General features: G+C 35.9%; 1 annotated feature.

The window, feature by feature from the left end:
- Window positions 16825–17653: an enhancer, noted in NCBI's record as "OCT4-NANOG-H3K27ac hESC enhancer chr21:28398443-28399271 (GRCh37/hg19 assembly coordinates)". NCBI's record gives its function as "activates a minimal SCP1, AML or CMV promoter by ChIP-STARR-seq in naive H9 embryonic stem cells {active_cell/tissue: H9 hESC(naive)}" and the evidence as "EXISTENCE:reporter gene assay evidence [ECO:0000049][PMID:30033119]".

The raw sequence follows: 18980 nt of genomic DNA, 5'->3' as shown, positions 1-18980 counted from the left end.
ATAAAAATAATATTGAACTTGCAGTTATAGAACATTGGTCTCATAAGGGATGTGTGGCCACACATTTCCTGTTGGAATTTAAGATGTTTTGTTTAATTTTCCTGAGTGTGCTACAATGCTTCATTACCCCCACCTGCTTCTATGTCTCCCTACATATCCCAGAGAAGAGGTCTGGAACTACGTTTCCCAGAATCCCCTTCTCAATGACATCCCAGGTTTGTGTCTGGTAAGTACAGGCAGTCATGGTCCAGTGTTTGAGGACAGTGTTTGGGAAGTATTGGATTTGATTATGAAGCCAGTATATGCAGAAGGTACCTGCCATATATATGGCAGTCTGTTTTAAGCTCTGGTTAGGAAGTACCCACCAGGCCCACTAAGCATGACAACTATTCACCAATGTCAGGTTTACATTTATTTATAGGCGGGAAGAAGGGGATCACTGACCCCTTAAAATTAGGATAAGTCATATAACCAGTTGTATTCTATGGTTATAGGTTAAAGTAACTATAGGATAAGGTCAAGCAGGTTATTGCTTTCTTCTACCATAATCAGCAATGTTCTAGAGAGTAAACTCAAGGACCCTGAGTGAGAAAGGCAAACTCATTAATCATTTTGTATACATGAGGAATTATTTTTTTGTTTAAAGCCACTGAAATTTTGTAGTTTTCTTCTTTGCAGTTTACTCTTTGCTCCCACAACATAATGTAGTCATTCTTTTTAATAACCTGGGATTTCATTTCTTCTGCCTGAAAGAAATAATTCTATTTACAGAAACTGATTGCTTAGATGATTAAATAAGGTAGGCAAAAGCACCTCAAAGTCTAACACATAGTAGGTCCTTAGCTCGTGTCAGTGAATTTTAATCCAGATACTATGTCATCTACAGGGATTCAACAATTTGACACAGGATGCAATTACTATTAGAGTAAATTTTGTTGTTTAAATATTGAAGACATATTCTTTGAGAAAGCAGTTAAATGAGTAGTTTTCTGTTTTTCAAATGTCAACAGAATTTATATATCACACTACATCACAGAAAGCATGAACTATTTTTTGAGGGCAGGACCTATATTTAATTCAACAATGTATTCTCAGCAAATAGCCTAGTACATGGCACATGCCAATAAAATATTTTCTTCATGAACTATGGTAATTTGTACCCAGTTAGCTATGGAAAACACAGTTGCATATTGGAGCATTATCCATTCTTAGACGCTAGCATTTGTATAAATCTGTATTTAGCTTTAAGCACACGTTAGAAATATAGAAATGATCTATTACTTTAAAGCAACTGCATACATCTTCTGTGTATATTTGTAGACACTTATACTAAGTGTTTATCAGATTGTATTACATAAAGTAGGCTTATTTTCATTCATTCATCCTTTCATCTACTTCTTTTTTCTTTTTCTTTTTTTTTTTTTTTGAGACCAAGCCTTGTTCTGTCACCCAGGCTGGAGTGCAGTGGCATGATCACCGCTCACTGAAACCACCACCTCTGAGGTTCAAGCAATTCTCGTGCCTCAGCCTCCCAAGTAGCTTGGATTACAGATGCACACCACCATGCTTGGCTAATTTTTTTATATTTAGTAACGACAGGGTTTTACCATGTTGGCCAGGCTGGTCTTGAACTCCTGGCCTCAAGTGATCCGCCAGCCTTGGCCTCTCAAATTGCTGGGATTACAGGTATAAGCCACAATGCCTGGCCACATTACATACTTTTTAAAATATTTTTTTGAAGTTCCAATAAAGGAGATCTTTGCATTACATTAAAGAATGATAGCTGCAAGTGATGGTGAATTGAAACTTTGTTTATTTCTATTTCCCCCCAAAATTCCACATAAATGACAGTAAAAAAAAAAAAATTGTAAATGACAAATTTATAAGGAGGATAAAAAGGAGGCAGAAAAAGTAAGAGCAAGAGTATTTTGGAAACTGGAGAGCTGGTGGATTAGTGACATCTAACAACTAACAAAATATGGTGAAAAAGCAATGTTTGCAATAACAGAACCTCAAAACAGTATTATTTGTGCTATAGGCCCCAAGAAATGCTCAAAACTTGGAGGCATTGATACCTTTTAAAGTGGGGTTGTTGACTGAAAATATAAGTGTTGGTTGAGAGACTACATGAGATGCAGTTTAGCTCCCAAATTCCTTCTCCAAAAATGATCCACTAGTAAAAAGACTAAACTGAACCCTGGCAGAAATTAGATATTTATATTGTAGAGAAGTAGATAAAAGTGGACGGCAATTATAGTTGAGAGTGTTACCGGAAAGGTGTCCCAATCCAGACCCCAAGAGAGGGTTCTGGGACCTCACGCAAGAAAGATTTTGGGGTGAGTCCATAGAGTAAAGTGAAAGCAAATTTATTAAGAAAGTAAAGGAATAAAAGAAGGGCTACTTCACAGGTGGAGCAGTGGCAGGGGCTCTTTGACTGAATATATTTATAGTTATTTCTTGATTATATGCTAAACAAGAGGTGGAGTACTCATGAGTGTTCTGGGAAAGGGGCAGGGATTTCCCAGAACTGAGGGTTCCTCCCCTTTTTGACCATATAGGATAACTTCTGGGCATTGCCAAGGCATTTGTAAACTCTCATGGTGCTGGTGGGAGTGTCTTTTAGCATGCTAATGCAGTATAATTAGCATATAATGAGCAGTGACTACAACCATAGATCACTTTTGTTGCCATCTTGGTTTTGGTGGGTTTTGGCTGGCTTCTTTACTGCAACATGTTTTGTCAGCAGGGTCTTCGTGATCTGCATCTTGTGCCAACCTCCTATCTCATCCTGTGAATAAGAATGCCTAACCACCTAGGAATGCAGCCCAGTAGGTATTAGCTTTATTTTATCCAGCCCCTATTCAGGATGGAGTGACTCTGGTTTGAATGCCTCTGACAAGAGTAAGTTGACATACTGAGAACAATTAAAGTCTACACAGGGAATGGCAAGACCACACTAGATCTCTTTACACACAGATCTACCAATTGGCAACTAGAATTATAACTTGTATAAAGGAAATGAAAAAATTTCTCTTTGAAGAAACCAACTAGTTTAACAGGCTCCTTGGGGTTCCCTAGCAGGACAGCCAATCCAGATCACCTTCTAGGAAAATCCACCCGTGAACAGAGTTTGCAATCGTTTTGTGGCACGTCACTCCCACTTGTAAATATAAGTTCAAAAAATGAAAGAAACACAATAATACATAAAGCCTCAAGAAAAGAAAGTTGCTGGGAGGGTAGATTTATGGGCCTTCCTATGGAGAACATCCCTCAGTCAGATACAGTATTTATTCCTGGAAAACATTTAGGTGATGGAGACGCAACTACTTTATACAAAGCATGTTTCAATATTTTAATTTTCATAATCCTATCAACATTTACATTTTATGTTCTGGTCTCAGGAATCTTTTTTTAAATTTTTCTACCCCCAAACCATTTTATCCCCTCCGGCGAAAAAGAATTTGGGATCTGACCAGGGGGGTTGAGCCAAACAAAGAAGGTCCTTTTGTTGATCTTTATTTTGATGAACTTATCTCAACATTGCCCCAAGCAATTGTTGGTCAGCTTTCTCATTCCAGTCTTTGCCTTCTGATTATTATTAAGAACTTCTTCTAATCAGAAGTAAATAGAGAAAACTGGCTTGTACGCTTTTAATGTTGGGGGACCAGCAAGGACCCTCTTTGGTCCACCCAACCTTAAGTAGTGTTGTATTAAGACTTTTGTTTTAATCCCATCAATTTTCCTTTCATTCATTCGGTTTCCTAGTAACCAAGTAAAGATTTTCTACCCTTCTGAGATGAGTCCCATGACTTCCCTCCCCCCTTTTTTTTAACGTTTTAGTTTTATCCCTCTCAATGTGTTCTTTTTCATTTACCTTATTTAAAAAAATAACCATTTAAAGATTTTCACCTCCCTGGGATGAATCCTTTGACTCTCCATTTTGTCTCCATTTGTTTTTTTAACTAACTTAATGTTTTATTAGCATCTATAAGACCCATGAGGAAAAGCTGAGACACCAAATTTGATAAGGCTCCTCCAAGGGAACATCACAACATGGGGTGCCCACATAGAAGAGGCCCCCTTAACCATAGCACTTGCCGTGACCTAAGTAACAGGTGCCTGCTAGAGGCCCCCTTAACTACAGCGCTTACCATGCCCTAGGGGGAACATCCTCTAATCATATACAATATTTATTCCCAGAAAACATTTAGGTGATGGAGATACAACTACTTTATACAAAGTGTGTTTAAATATGTTAACTTTCATAATCCTATCAACTTTTATATTTTATGTTCTGGTCCCAGGAATCTTTTTTTTTCTACCCCCAAACCATTTTACCCTCTCTGGTGAAAAAGAATTTGGGTTCTTACCAGGGGTTGAGCTAAAGGAAGAAGGTCCTTTGTTGATCTTTATTTTGATTAACTTATCTCAACATTGCCCCAGTAAAAATATCATAAACTACCTTTAAGAACATCTAGTTTTCACTTATTTTGAGACTTTCTAATATGATTGATAAATATCTTGAGAGATATGTAGAGATATTAGAACTCAGGCAGTCATTTCATTATTGTTAATTTAAGTTGATAAATCTATATCATGTCTTTTAAGACTGCCTGGGTCCAGTCTTCTTTCCCAAACCCCTCCTTCACACATCTCCCTGCTGACTACCTCTCTTCCTGGGCTGCTGTTAGTGTTGGGAACACTCCATGTTCCATCCCATATCAGGGCCTTTTAAAAACTATCTACTTTTAATATGTTATATATAACAGGCGTATTCCCCAGGTGAAAACCCCTGTCATCATATAGCCAGGCCCCCAAGGCTTGCATAGGAAGCATATCAGCTGCTAATATGGGGTGCTCTACTTGGCATTTATAGGGGTAGTTGGGCAGTCCCTTTCTCAGGGAAAATAGAACTTACAGTGGCTTTTATCCAGATACTATGCACATTTTAAACTTTTGTAAAGAAAAAAAATAAAAGTAGATAGCACAAAAAAAAATAAAAGTACAATAATGAGATGACTGCCTAAGTTCATATATATATATAATATATATATCTCAAGATATTTATCAACCATAGTACAAAATAAAAATAAAAGTACAATGAAATGACAGCCTAATTCACACATATGTGTGTATATATATATGTATAGTATATGTATATATCTCAAGATATATATCTTGAGATATATACATATACTATACATATATATATACACACGTGTGTATATATACTATACACATATACACACACATGTGTATATACATATATACACATGTGCGTGTATATATACACGTGTGTGTATATATGTATAGTATATGTATATATCTCAAGATGTATAGTATATGCATGTATCTCAAGATGTATAGCATATGTATCTCAAGATGTATACATATACTATACATATATATACAAAAACACGTGTGTGTATATATATACATGCACATATGTGTGTGCGTGTATATATACATAGTATATGTCTATATCGCAAGATATTTATCAATCATATTAGAAAATCTCAAAATAAATGAAAACTAGATGTTCTTAAAGGGAGTTTATGATATTTTTATCTGAGCCTTAAAACTCACTAATTTTTAAAAAGAGATATATAGTAGAAACTGCAAATCCTATTTCAATTCAATATTCTGTTTAGTTCGAGTTGACTAAGCAAGCTTGTCCGTTGAAAAATGAGACTGGAATATCCTTTTTTTTTTTTTTTCTTTCAAAATAGTCTCTTAGTATCTTAGAGTTGGAATTGATATAAAGATGATTGGTTTAATTCTGTTATTTTTCAGATGAGGTCCACATAGGAAAAGTGGCCTTCCAGAGGACATATATTTAGTTGGTGGCAAACATGAAATCAATTCTCTTTCTTAGTTCAGATCTCTTTCCAATATATTACATTCAAGACTATTTTACTTACTAGGCAATACAATCACACTGCCTAAGCACCCTGATTTTCTGAGGGCATATAACAATGCTTGAGACCTGGGGTAGAGAATATGTATTGGCTTCCAAATGTCTAAGAATATTGCAAAGCTAAATTCATAACTATATCATTAAGTACCTATACAATGTAAATCTATGTCAACTATGAGTTACAGCATAATATATTCTTGTATGGTTATGTATTAATCTTATGAACAAATTGCATGATAATATGTCTATTATTCTATAGTCAAGCCTACAAAAACAATCTTAATTTTGCTACATAAGTAGATAAAGATTTTCAAAATCTATGCTAACAAAAATATTTGTATATATACCACACACGTATACACAATCACACACACACAAACACACACACAGTTTTTCCAGTTTATAAGTGCAGTGGTCAGTAAACAAAAAACTAACTTTATTCAAGTTTCAAATTGTGTCTATATAAAAAATCCAGAAAATTAAAAGTTGCCAAGTTTGTTTGTTCTTGTCTTCATTATCCGCGTTCTCATCATTAAACTAGGATAAGGAGCATATAAATCATATAATCTCTAAGGTCCTCTTTGGTTCTAAATTCTCATAATTCTATTCTGATCCTCCTCTTCTAAAGATTAAATCTTAAGGAATTTTTTTTTTCTGAATCCCTTTAGGGGACACAGAGACAGGGTGGGTCAAATGCTTCCCATGGGTATTGTTTTTGATGTCCTGAGTTCCTTCCTCTTCACTGCCTCATGCACTTGCTGATGTCAGAGCTCTAACTGTGGATCATAAGCTGTAACCTCCACAGATTTTCCAGATGCTGACATATTAGGTAAATGTAATCTTTGTGGGAGCAGTTACTGCTATGGGAAAAGAAATCTTGGAAGCAGAGCTCAGCTGCAGCTTGATTTAACTGAGGTAGTAAACATCATGGGAACAATGGTTGACATTGGCCAGAGTCCACCAAAAGGAGGTGCACAGAATCACAGGACAACCAGAAGGGAAGCGCAGAAAAATAAGGTGAAACATCGGAAGAAGCGAGGGGAGTCTAAGGGAAAGAGAATGCCAAAAAAATCCAGACAGACAGAATAATGAATGAGCTTTTCACTGGTTGTTCAAATGTGTGTGTGTGTGAGAGAGAGAGAGAGTGTGTGTGTGTGTGTATGTGTGAAAACCTCAGAGAGTAACTTAAATAACAAAAGATGCTACAAGTTCTTCTTTTGGAGTTGTTCGGACCCCAGAATGATACCTTCACATTATTCTAAGATGCTTACTTTCCAATATGCTTTTAAAAGGATTAATCTACACAACTCATGAATTACAAAGCATTTACACAATTAAATTAAAACATTTTATTGCCTTCTCTTAATACAGGTGAATTTTAATACTCCACTAAGAAGCTCTTCATGCTCTCAAGGCAGCAATAAACTGATCAAGACACGAGACAGGGTTACAATATTTTTCAGTCAGGTTTAATGCACACATTTGCCTCCACCAATAATAAACTTTTTGACAAGTTAACAGTTTTTAAGATGATCAGTAAAGTTTTTTTTTAAAAAAAAACTCTAGTTTTAAAAACTCCAGTGTATGCTAACATTCTTTACACATTCTTTGAGTCATTGGTTTTCCCTTTGCTTCAGTGCTTTTTCAGCTATCCCATGATCTTAAAATCTCACGTCTTATTACAACTCTCCATGTATTAGGAATAACTATTTGTTCATATAAAATGTTTGATAGTTGCTATATATTCAAACCTCTCCAATTTATCACGGGCTATCCTTCCTCTGTTTCTAAATATAAAAATGCTTCAGCCAACAGATGGTAAATGGAAGCACCAGTGAGCACAGAAATCAATCCAAAGCTTTTCAGCATGAAATGGCCCTGAGGCAAGCAGCAGAAGGAAGGAGAAAGGGAAAGCTCAGATATTTTCAAAAAGAAGAAAGAACTGACTGTCCTTCCTCGTAGTTGGTGGAACCATTCAATAAATCGGGCAAATAAAATTGACCAACTGAAGAATGAATTCATTTTATATAGTTTGAATCATGCTGATAAATCACACTGAAAGTGGCAATGGGCTCTTAGATACTCAATATAGTAAATTCTTAAGTGATAGAATCTTATCCTTAATGCTAGTCAGTGTCATCGAAACGGAGACCAATGCATCCATCTATTTCCAAGGATTTCTGTGAGTTCCTCTATGAAAATATTCCAGGGATGTTAATGTTATTGATATGACATTTACTTAGTCCGAGAGGTTTTCACAACTGTTTTAAAAAAGGGGTAGTATAGTACTAAAATACATCTACTCCCTGATACTTTTCTCAATATTTATTCATCTCAGATGACTCTCCCCTTAATATACAACTATGAAAACATTTTCTAAAAGTTCATACCAATGCATTTTAAATGGCTTCAAGTGTCCCACAGGCTGGACATGATGGCTGATGAAGGAGAAAAATATGCTGTATTCATTTATCAGCTAAGAATCCAATTTAATATTCTGAGCAATTTTTAAATTTTAATTGTAAGGTACATTTTGGATTACAAAAAATAAAACTGTCTCAATTATCTCTTCATAATGTAATCTTAGACGGAAAAAAAACTCTACAAATATATATGAACAGAACTAAGTTCCATAATGAGAATGAAAGGGCTAGCATATGGCACTGATTTTGACTTGGGTCTTTGTTGTAACTCTTTATTGATTGTTATTCTAAATACTATTGAAACTTTTTAAATATTCAGGTTGCATCCTCTAATACTACAATGAAAATCTGATAACAAATGCATTAATTTACAGAGTATTACAAACAAGGACAATCCAATGTTGTCAGCAGCCATGGCACAGAGGGAATACAGGGCTTCAGGTGCCCAAGACCTTGGCTGGAATCCTGGCTGGACCAGGCCTCAGAGTTTCTTTTCAGCAGAACAAGAAAAAAGGAAAAAGCCTCATAATTGAAATTATATCAAGCTAGAAAAGTGCTCTGAACATAACAAAGGACTAAAGTATCTATCGAGATATTGGGGAAGAGCTTTATTACATAGAGGATACAGGAGGACCAAAGGGTGATGAGAAGCCAGCCATGAGAAGAGAGAAAATCAGCCTAAGTGTCCATCAATGAATAAAAGGATAAACAGATATATACACAAGGGAATACTATTCAGCCATAGAAAAGAATGTAATCCTGTTGTTCGCAGCAACACGGATGGAACTGAAGATTATTACGGTAAGTGAAATAAGCCAGACACAGGAAGACAAGTATCACATATTCTTACTATGTGGGAGCTAAAAACATAGATTTCATGGAAGAATGAGAGAATGGTAGAATGATAGTCTCTGGTAACTATCATTCTGCTCTCTACTAATACCAAAGAAGACTGGAGAGGAGGAATGAAGACAGGTTGGTTAATAGGTATAAAAATGCAGTTACATAGAAGAAATAAGTTCTAATGTTTGATAGCCCAGAGGATGACTACAGTTAACAACAAAATATTGTATATTTCAAAGTATATAGAAATTTTGAAATGTTCTCAACAAAAAAATGATAAATGTTCAAGGTGATAAATATCTTAAATACCCTGATTTGAACATTACAGATTGTATGCATGTATCAAAATATCACATGTATGCCGTAAATATGTAATATGTAAAATTGTGTATGAATAAAATACTTTTTTAAAGCACACCAGTAGAGACATCAACATGAACAAAAGCCTTAAGTGGCCAAGAACTTTACTTGCTCCAAGAACTAAAAGAAGCCTAGTCTGACCAGAGCATTGTAGGCAATGGAGAAGCACAAGGGGAGGATGGATCAGTAGGTAGTGGGCTACTGATTGCATTGTTAACCAAAGGGATTTTTGTACTGTATTGTATTTTTTACTAATGCAAAGGAGTATGCATTGGTTATCTATTTCTGTGTCCAAAATGACTACAAAATTAGAGGCTTAAGACAACATTTAACATCTTATGTTTTTTATAGTTCAGGAATCTAGTTGCAGCTTACTGAGAACCCCTGGCTCAGGGTCTTTCAGAAGACTGCAATGTGTTGGCTGGGAATATAGGTATCTAAAGGCGTGACTTGAGATCCATTTCCACGATCACTTACGTGGTTGTTGGCAGGATTCAGCACTTTGTAGACTGTTGAACAGAGGGCCTCAGGTCCTCACTGGCTGTTGGCTGGGTGCCATCCTCAGTTCCTTGCTGCATGTACCTCTCCATAAGGCAATGTGCAGCATGGCAGCTTCCCTCATCAGAGGGAGTAATGGAGAAGAGCCAGAAAGAAACAGAGCAAACAAGACTGAAGTAACAGTCTTTTGCAACATAAGCTCAGAAATGGTATCCATATTCTATGCATTAGATGTCAATATATCTATGAAACTTTCAGGAGAAGAGAATTGCACAATAACATGACTATCAGGAGATGGAGATTGCTGTGGTCTGCCTTAGAAGGCTGCGTACTACAAAATATCATGATTTTTTAACTTTAAAAGACTGCTAGTTCTGTCTGAAAAATGGAATAGAGAGATCAAAAGTGAGGTCAGATAGACCTGTTAGGTACAACCTGCAGAATCTGCTGATAAGTTCAATGTGGAGAGTTCGAGGAAGAGGAGTCAAGAATTTCTGGCTTTAGTAACTGAGTTGATGATCCCACACTTTTGGATAAAGAAGACATATGTAAAGAAGGTCTAGAATAGAAATCGATTATCGATTTATTTATGAAAAATCAAAATACAAGTTTATTTTTATTGAACTCAGTACATTGAACACACTATGTTACCTAGCTCAAAATATATGAATTTCAGCTCGATTTTATCTAAAAGACCAAAAAATATCATAAACAATATAAAAATATATGTGACTAGGCCAGATGCGGTGGCTCATACCTGTAATCCCAGCACTTTGGGAGGTTGAGGCAGTGGATCACCTGAGGTCAGGAGTTCGAGACCAGCCTGACCAACAATGGAGAAACCCCGTCTCTACTAAAAATACAAAAAAAAAAATTACCCAGGCGTGGTGGCGGGTGCCTGTAATCCCAGCTACTTGAAAGGCTGAGGCAGAAGAATTGCTTGAACCTGGGAGGCAGAGGTTACAGTGAGCCAAGATCTCGCCATTGCACTCCAGCTTGGGCAACAAGAGCGAAACTCCGTTTCAAAAAAAAAAAAAAAAAAAGTGAGTATGTGACATATAGCCTGAAATTAAACTTTTATTCTGTGTGCACCAAAAGAAAGAATTGTTTAAAAGATCAATCACAAGAAGAGATACTTTAGATTAGCATAAAAGTCTTCTAATAATTTAAAAGAAATCTATAAAATTTAATAAACTGCTCCATAATGGATTTTCCATTTCTAGAGGTGTTCAAACAGCATTTAGAAAGCCACATGTCAGGGGAAATCTGTGTCAAGTAGAAGCCAGATTCATTTATCTCTAAAGACTCACAAATCATCTGTTCAGTAATGTCATAAAATACTGTGCAGCCTTATAACAAACTATTAAATTATTACACAAGTAGGATAGCTTTTCTCTTCTTTAATAATTTTACATTCATAAATTACTGGACCTGCTATGTGCTATGCTCGGTCACAGATTTTAACTGGAAATAAAAAAGTAGAACACAGTACTTTGATTCCAACTTTCCTTTATGCCCTGTCTCATGTGATAGTGAAGTACGTTACAATGGGCATCAGAACACTGATGCACGTGGATATGATTGTGATGTACTGTCACTGAGAAGATTGCCAACAGTTCTAATAGAGAACAAATACATTTCAGGCCAGTGATTCTTTCCAAATCAAGTTCACTTGTAAAATATTGCTGTGGCATGGTAAAGCCATTTCCCAAAATGTCATAGATATAAAGGTCCGAAATGTGTGTGCACTCATGCCATATGAGAAGGTGAGAAATTTGACATGAGCAATGGAATGTATTAGCACCATATTATTTAGACAGTCTTACATTCTCATCATCCAAACCATGAAAGAACAAGAATATGCTACAACAACAACATATTTCTTTTTTTCTAAGTAATTACAATTCATTTTGTGTTTTATTTCTTGTTTGTGCCATTTTTATTGAAGCACAAAGTACATACGCTTTATGTTGAAATATAAGATGGCATCCCTTGACTGTGATTGCTTTGCATTTATTATTTTAAGGGTACAGATGCCATATGTACAGAAATGCGTCTTCCAGCTCATGAAAATGGCACGTCACTTATCCATGCATTCTTTTTTCATTTTTCTAGTTTTTTAATATTGTAGTTCTCCATGGAGAAGCTTTTCACATATTTTATTCAATTTATTCATGGGCATTGGTAGCTTTTTTAGGCTATTGTAAACGACATTACAGACACAACCAGCACTACAGAAGACACCTCATACAAATTCACATAATTAGCCCTCCAAGGTAGCTACTGTGTGACTTCCAGCATCACTGATTCATTTTACTTTATGGGGGAATCTCTGTATATAGCAGGTTCTCGAATAAAGTTGTTTCATTCAACATTGTTTCCTTGTAACACTGATGAGGAAAAAATGATTCCTGGGGCCACTCTGTGTGGAGTTTGCATGTTCTCCCCATGTCTGTGTGGGTTTTCTCTGGGTACCCTGGGTTCTTCCACATCACAAAGATCCACACATTAGGTGAATTGGCCTGTCTAAATTGTCGCAGTCTGAGTGAGTGTGGGTGTGTGTTTGAGTGTGACCTATGTTGGAATGACGTCCTGTCCAGTGTTAGTTTGTGCCTTGTTCCTGAGCTGCAAGAATAGGCTCTTGTCACCCGAGACCTTGGAATAAGCAGGTTGAAAAAGGAATGAATGAATGAATGCATACAAATTATTGCAAAATAAAAATGTTTATACTATTACCATACAAATGCATAACAATCAATGATGTGGTCTGAAAGCACTCAGCAAGTCTGCCATATGTGTTAATGCTTGTTTTTGAACTGCGTGGAGGTAGGGAGTGCTCCTTAGAATTTTCACTTTGCAAACATTTATTCCTTAACATAACCCACCACTACTATGACTGCCATCACTCAATGACCCACCAAAAATTGGGCTAGTAATTATCTTACTTGTTTTTCTTCCCCTTTTTTTTTTCTTTCTTTTTTTCTGAGACGGAGTCTCGCTCTGTTGCCCAGGTTGGAGTGCAGTGGCGTGATCTCCGCTCACTGCAAGCTCTACCTCCCGAGTTCATGCCATCCTCCTGCCTCAGCCTCCTGAGTAGCTGGGGCTACAAGCGCCCGCCACCACGCCCGGCTAATTTTTTGTATTTTTTAGTAGAGACGAGGTTTCACCGTGTTAGCCAGGATGGTCTCGATCTCCTGACCTTGTGATCTGCCCGCCTCCGCCTCCCAAAGTGCTGGGATTACAGGCGTGAGCCACCGCGCCCGGCCTTTTCCCCTTTCTTAAATGGATGTATAGCTCACATTTATTTCAATGTTAAATGTTAGAAGTGTTTGGGTCTTTATTGAGGAGTTTGGTGATGTTTTCCAGATGAGAAATATGCTGTAGGAACTTAACTCTTTTTTATATTAATCAGGCTATGGTAATATTGGTTTTATTATATGTTGCTTTGCTTATGGTCTCCGTTTCCAAGAATCTATCAATGAGACTAAGAAGGACATACTGTAAATGAAATCGCAGAGTATACATTGTCCTATCTGACTTCTCACAGTCAAATTTATAAAGCGACTCATCCACATTGTAACAATGAACACAGTCCCCAATTTGAAGGTGAGAGGATACTTTACTGTTTTACCTTTCACATTTAGATCTTCAATTCATCTCGAATCTTCAATCCATCTACACATAATTTTTAAATATGGTGTAAGACATGACAAAACATTTAATTCAATTTTTCTTTCATTTAGATATCCAATTGACCCAGCATCATCTAATGAAAATTTCAAGTTCTATTTTTCCCCATATAGGCACCCAATTCATCCAGCATCATATACTGAAAATATGACCCTTTCATTACTGCATTGTTCTGATACTTTTGTTATAATGGTGTGTTTGTTTCTATGAATGTATCATTTTGTATTCCTCCTGCTTTCCCACTATGCTATTTGTTTGATTGTGTCAATACCACACAGTTTTACTTTAGTTTTATAACGAAACTTGATATTTGGTAGTGTACGTTCTCCAAATTCATTCTTCTCAATTTTCTTTGCTATTCTTGCCTCTTGAATTTCCAGAAACATTTTTGAATCAGTTTTTAATATACATTCACACGCGCACACACACACACACACACATACACACTTGCAGACTTGCAGAGATTTTGAGCGATATTGTATTGTATTTACTATTGGGAGGGACGTTGTTGATATGTTTAAGTGATAATTCTTTCTACCCATAAACATGGTAGATCATTGCATTTGTTTGCACTTTTCTATTCTTTCAGTAATATTTGTCTTGTAATTTTCTTTGTTGAGATTTTGTACATCTTTCATTTGATTTATTTATAGGCATTAAATATGTTTGGTGCTATTTTAAAAAATCTTATTTATATATTTTATTTTCTATTTGTTAGTTGCAAATCCATTCGACATGGGCCAATCCAAAGTATCAAAAATGAAATAAATATGTATTTTTAGTCATTGAGTTTTGAGATAATGTTAGGCTGGAATAACAAACTGACATAATGTTCTTTATCAGAGTAATGAAATTCCCTTTATTACCAGTTTTCCAAGACATTTTTTAAAAGACAGATATTGACTTTGTCAATACTTTTCTGCACCTAACCAGATGATCATATGTTTTTCTCCTTTATTAATTCAGTAAATTACCTTAATTTATATCACTCACATTACTAGAACAAAGACGACTTTATGCATTGTCATTATATTTTATGACAATATTACATACATTATGAAAGTCCAAAATATTTTCTAATTTTCATGTGATTTTTTTGACATATGGATGATTTCCAAATGTAATATTTAACATTTAAAGTTCAATTTTATTACTTATATTTCTGTTTTTGTGGTTTTTATTTCCAGTTTAATTTCATTTTTGTCAGAACATACTCTCTTTAATTTCATTATCAAATCCTTTGAAACTTGTAGGGAATTGCTTTATGGCCCAGCATATAGTGACCTACTTTGGTACATGTTCCATGTACACTTGAAAATAATGCATTTTGCAATTGTTGAATGCAGTGTTTATATATACACTCATGTGTCACATAATAATGGGAACATTCTGAGAAATGTATGTTTAGGTGATATCATAGTCGTGAGAACATCAGAGCATCTTGTACAAATTTCAGTGGTATAGACTATTATACACCTAGGTTATACAGCACAGCCTATTCCTCCTAGGATAAAAAACTTGTATAGCATGTTATTGTACTGAATGCTGGAGCCAATTTTAACACCATGGTAAACACAATTGACCCTTGAACAACATAGGTTTGAACTGGACAGGTCCACTTATATGCATATTTTTTTTTCAGCAAAACTCAGATTGAAACTATAGTGCTTCCCGGGATGTAAAACCCGTGTATAGGCAAGGCCAGCTTTTCCTTTTCCTACATATGGGTTCTGCAGGGTCCACTGGAGGACTTGAGAATGTGGGGATAGGGGTATAGGTGGAGGTCCTAGAACCAATCCTGAGTATACTGAAGGACGACTGTATTCGTGTAGCTAAACATATCACATGTATGATACCACATGCATGACGGTGATCCCATGAGGTTATAATGCTTTGTTTTACATTACATAGATCCCATTATAATCTCATGGATCACCATCATACATGTGGTCTATTGCTGACACAGAAAGTGCATGACTATAGAGAGCTAAAAACTTTTCAGTTTTTCTGAAAATATGTCTACTTTGCTATCCTTTTAAAATAAATATTTCGTGTTGGAAATAGTATTCTGATTTATTAGTTATATTTTTTCAACCCTTAAAGAAGACATTTCAGTGTTTTCTGTCTTTCATTATTTCCATTGAAAAGCTAGATATCAACGGGTATTTTTGCTTTTGAGAATAATTCATTATTTCCCTTTGGTTGCTTTTAAGATTTTTCTTTTTTCTTGGTTTTTAGTAATTTTACTATGATGTAAATGTGCATAATTTATTTAAATTGGTTCAAAGTTTGTAAGTTTTTGAACCTGTGGCCCAAGGTCTGTAATCAGTTTTGAAAAATTCTATATCATTACTTTTTAAAATATAATTTTTGCCCCATTCTCATGTTCTTCTCTTGTGGTGACTCCAATTTTATGTATGCTATAACTTTTCATTTTTACTCACATTTTTGTTACACACTTTCCTAAGCATTAGTTTTTTTTTAATTATAGGAATACTATTTGGTACTTTTAAAAATAGCTTCCAATTCTATAGTTACATCCCCCATTTTGTCATTTTTTTATATTGGTAATATATTTTTAAATTTTATGTCTGCTAACTTCTATAGCTGAATTTACATGCTCTCTTTTTATTGTCTATTCTGATTTCCACATTTTCTTTCACTTCCTTCCTCAAAATTAGCAATATATCTAACAAAGAAAGACTTAGGTAGAAAAGCTTTTAGGCCAAAAGAAAAGACACGTAATTGTAAAAAAGGTTTGCAAGAAAGTCTGTTTCAGAAAGACTGGCTTACCATTAGACAACAAACAAAATTCACAAAATGTATTTAAAGAAACTGAGGAATAAGAGAAACTATAATAGAAAATCAACAAAGTCACTAAGTTTATAAATTAATCTTTGCATTGTTAAACCTAGCAATATTCTCTCATGGTTATCATATGCACAACGGATGTATCTTTAGATATCACCACTGCAAAATGCACAGATAAAGTTTATTTCTGTTAGGGAATCAGCAACTTACAAGTAAGATCCAAGTGTATTATTCTGAGTTCTCCAAAGAAACAGGACTATTAATATAGGCAAATAGATAGATAGTCACCAGAAGGAATTGGCTTATAATCTTATGAAGGCTGAGAAGTTCAAGATCTGCAGTTGGAAAGCTGGAGGCCTAAGAGAGCAAATATTGTGGATCTAGACTGAGTCTGAAGCCCTGAGAACCAAAAGAAATTATAGTGAAAGTTTCAAACCAAGTCTGAGTTCGAGTCCAACTCCTAAGGCAGGAGAAGACTGATGTCACAGCTAAAGAATGTCAGAGAAAAAGAATTCTTTCTTACTCAGCCTTTTACCCTCTTCAGGCCATCAATGGATTGGATGAGTCCCACCTACACTGAGGAGGGCCATCTACTCTAATTAGTCTACCAATTCAACTGTTAATCTCATCCAGAAATGCCTGCACAGACTCACCCAGAAATAATGTTTGACTAAATACCTGGGCACCTCAATCAAACTGATGCCTTAAATTAACAATCCCACCAATGTTTCATTCATTTGAGAGGAACTAGAGCTGGAAAGCACAACACTTTATATTAGGTTTGTGCAAAAGAAATTGCGATTTTTGCCATTACAAGTAATGTAAATATTGTTTGCTATCGGGAGACCTGCCCCGATAATCACGTAGGTTCTTTTCTATTTTCCTAAGTGTCGGCTGGCTTGAGAAATAAAGGGAGAGAGTACAAAAGAGAGAAATTTTAAAGCTGGGAGTCCGGGGGAGACATCACACGTTGGTAGGATCCGTGATGCCCCACAGGCCACAAAAACCAGCAAGTTTTTATTAGGGACTTTCAAAAGGGGAAGGAGTATACGAATAGGTGTGGGTGACAGACATCAAGTACTTAACAGGGTAATAGAGTATCACAAGGCAAGTGGAGGCAGGGTGAGATTACAGGACCACAGGGGAAATTAAAATTGCTAATGAAGTTTTGGGCACCATTGTCATTGATAACATCTTATCAGGAGACAGGGTTTTGAGATCAACTAGTCTGACCAAAATTTATTAAGTGGGAATTTCCTCTTCCTAATAAGCCTGGGAGCGCTATGGGAGACTGGAGTTTATTTCACCCCTGCAGTCTCAACCATAAGAGACAGGTACGCCCCGGGCGGGGGGGCCAGTTCAGAGACCTACCCCTAGGTGCGCATTCTCTTTCTCAGGGATATCCCATGCTGAGAAAAAGAATTCAGCGATATTTCTCCCATTTGCTTTTGAAAGAAGAGAAATATGGCTCTGTTCTGCCCGGCTCACCGGCGATCAGAGTTTAAGGTTATCTCTCTTATTCCCCGAACAATTGCTGTTATCCTGTTCTTTTTTCAGGGTGCCCACATTTCATATTGCTCAAACACACATGGTGTACAATTTGTGTAGTTAACGCAATTATTACAGGGTCCTGAGATGATATACATCCTCCTCAACTGACAGGATTAAGAGCTTAAATTAAAGACAGGCATAGGAAATCACAAGGGTATTGATTAGGGAAGTGATAAGTGTCCATGAAATCTTTACAACTTATGTTTAGAGACTGCAGTAAAGACAGGCATAGGAAATTACAAAAGCATTAATTTGGGGAACTAATAAATGTCCATGAAATCTTCACAATCCACGTTCTTCTGCCATGGCTTCAGCTGGTCCCTCCATTTGGGGTCCCTGACTTCCCGCAAGAGTTTGCTTTGTCTTATTTTGCTTTGTTTTTATCTTAGGGTGAAAAGTTGTTTTTCCTGACTAGAATGTGATGAACACACTTTCTCATAACTCATTCTGAGTTGTGAGGTTTTCTTTCACACACCATTTAAAGATCATATCTGCCCTGGTGTAGAGCTTTACTGAGCTAACTGGCCTGTTTACAGTAGATGAGAATCTTTGACCATGATGTCATTAACACTGTCCTTTAGTAGTTTAAGGGTCATGGAGTGTCCAGACTCAACAATATATTGATTACTATTATTTCTATTCTGCTACCAAGTGTTCATGTCACCTTAAGGAGTATCTGTGTTTCTCTGCAAAACAAACTCTAAAAATGTTGTTTCCAAGGTCTAATTAGCAATGTATTTTTTAAAGCAACAAAATGATAGTGGTGCATCATGCCAAACTTATCTTTTTTAGGCATTGAAAATGGTGAAATTGTCAAATAAATTACCTTTTATAAATGACCTGTCCCAAAATGAAAAGTATTTTCTATATTCTCACATATCTATATT

The sequence above is a fragment of the Homo sapiens genome, chromosome 21 (genome assembly GCF_000001405.40).
Source record: "Homo sapiens chromosome 21, GRCh38.p14 Primary Assembly".
NCBI lineage: Eukaryota > Metazoa > Chordata > Mammalia > Primates > Hominidae > Homo > Homo sapiens.
Note: the sequence above shows the minus strand (reverse complement) of the source record. Positions and strands in the feature narration are given on the sequence as shown.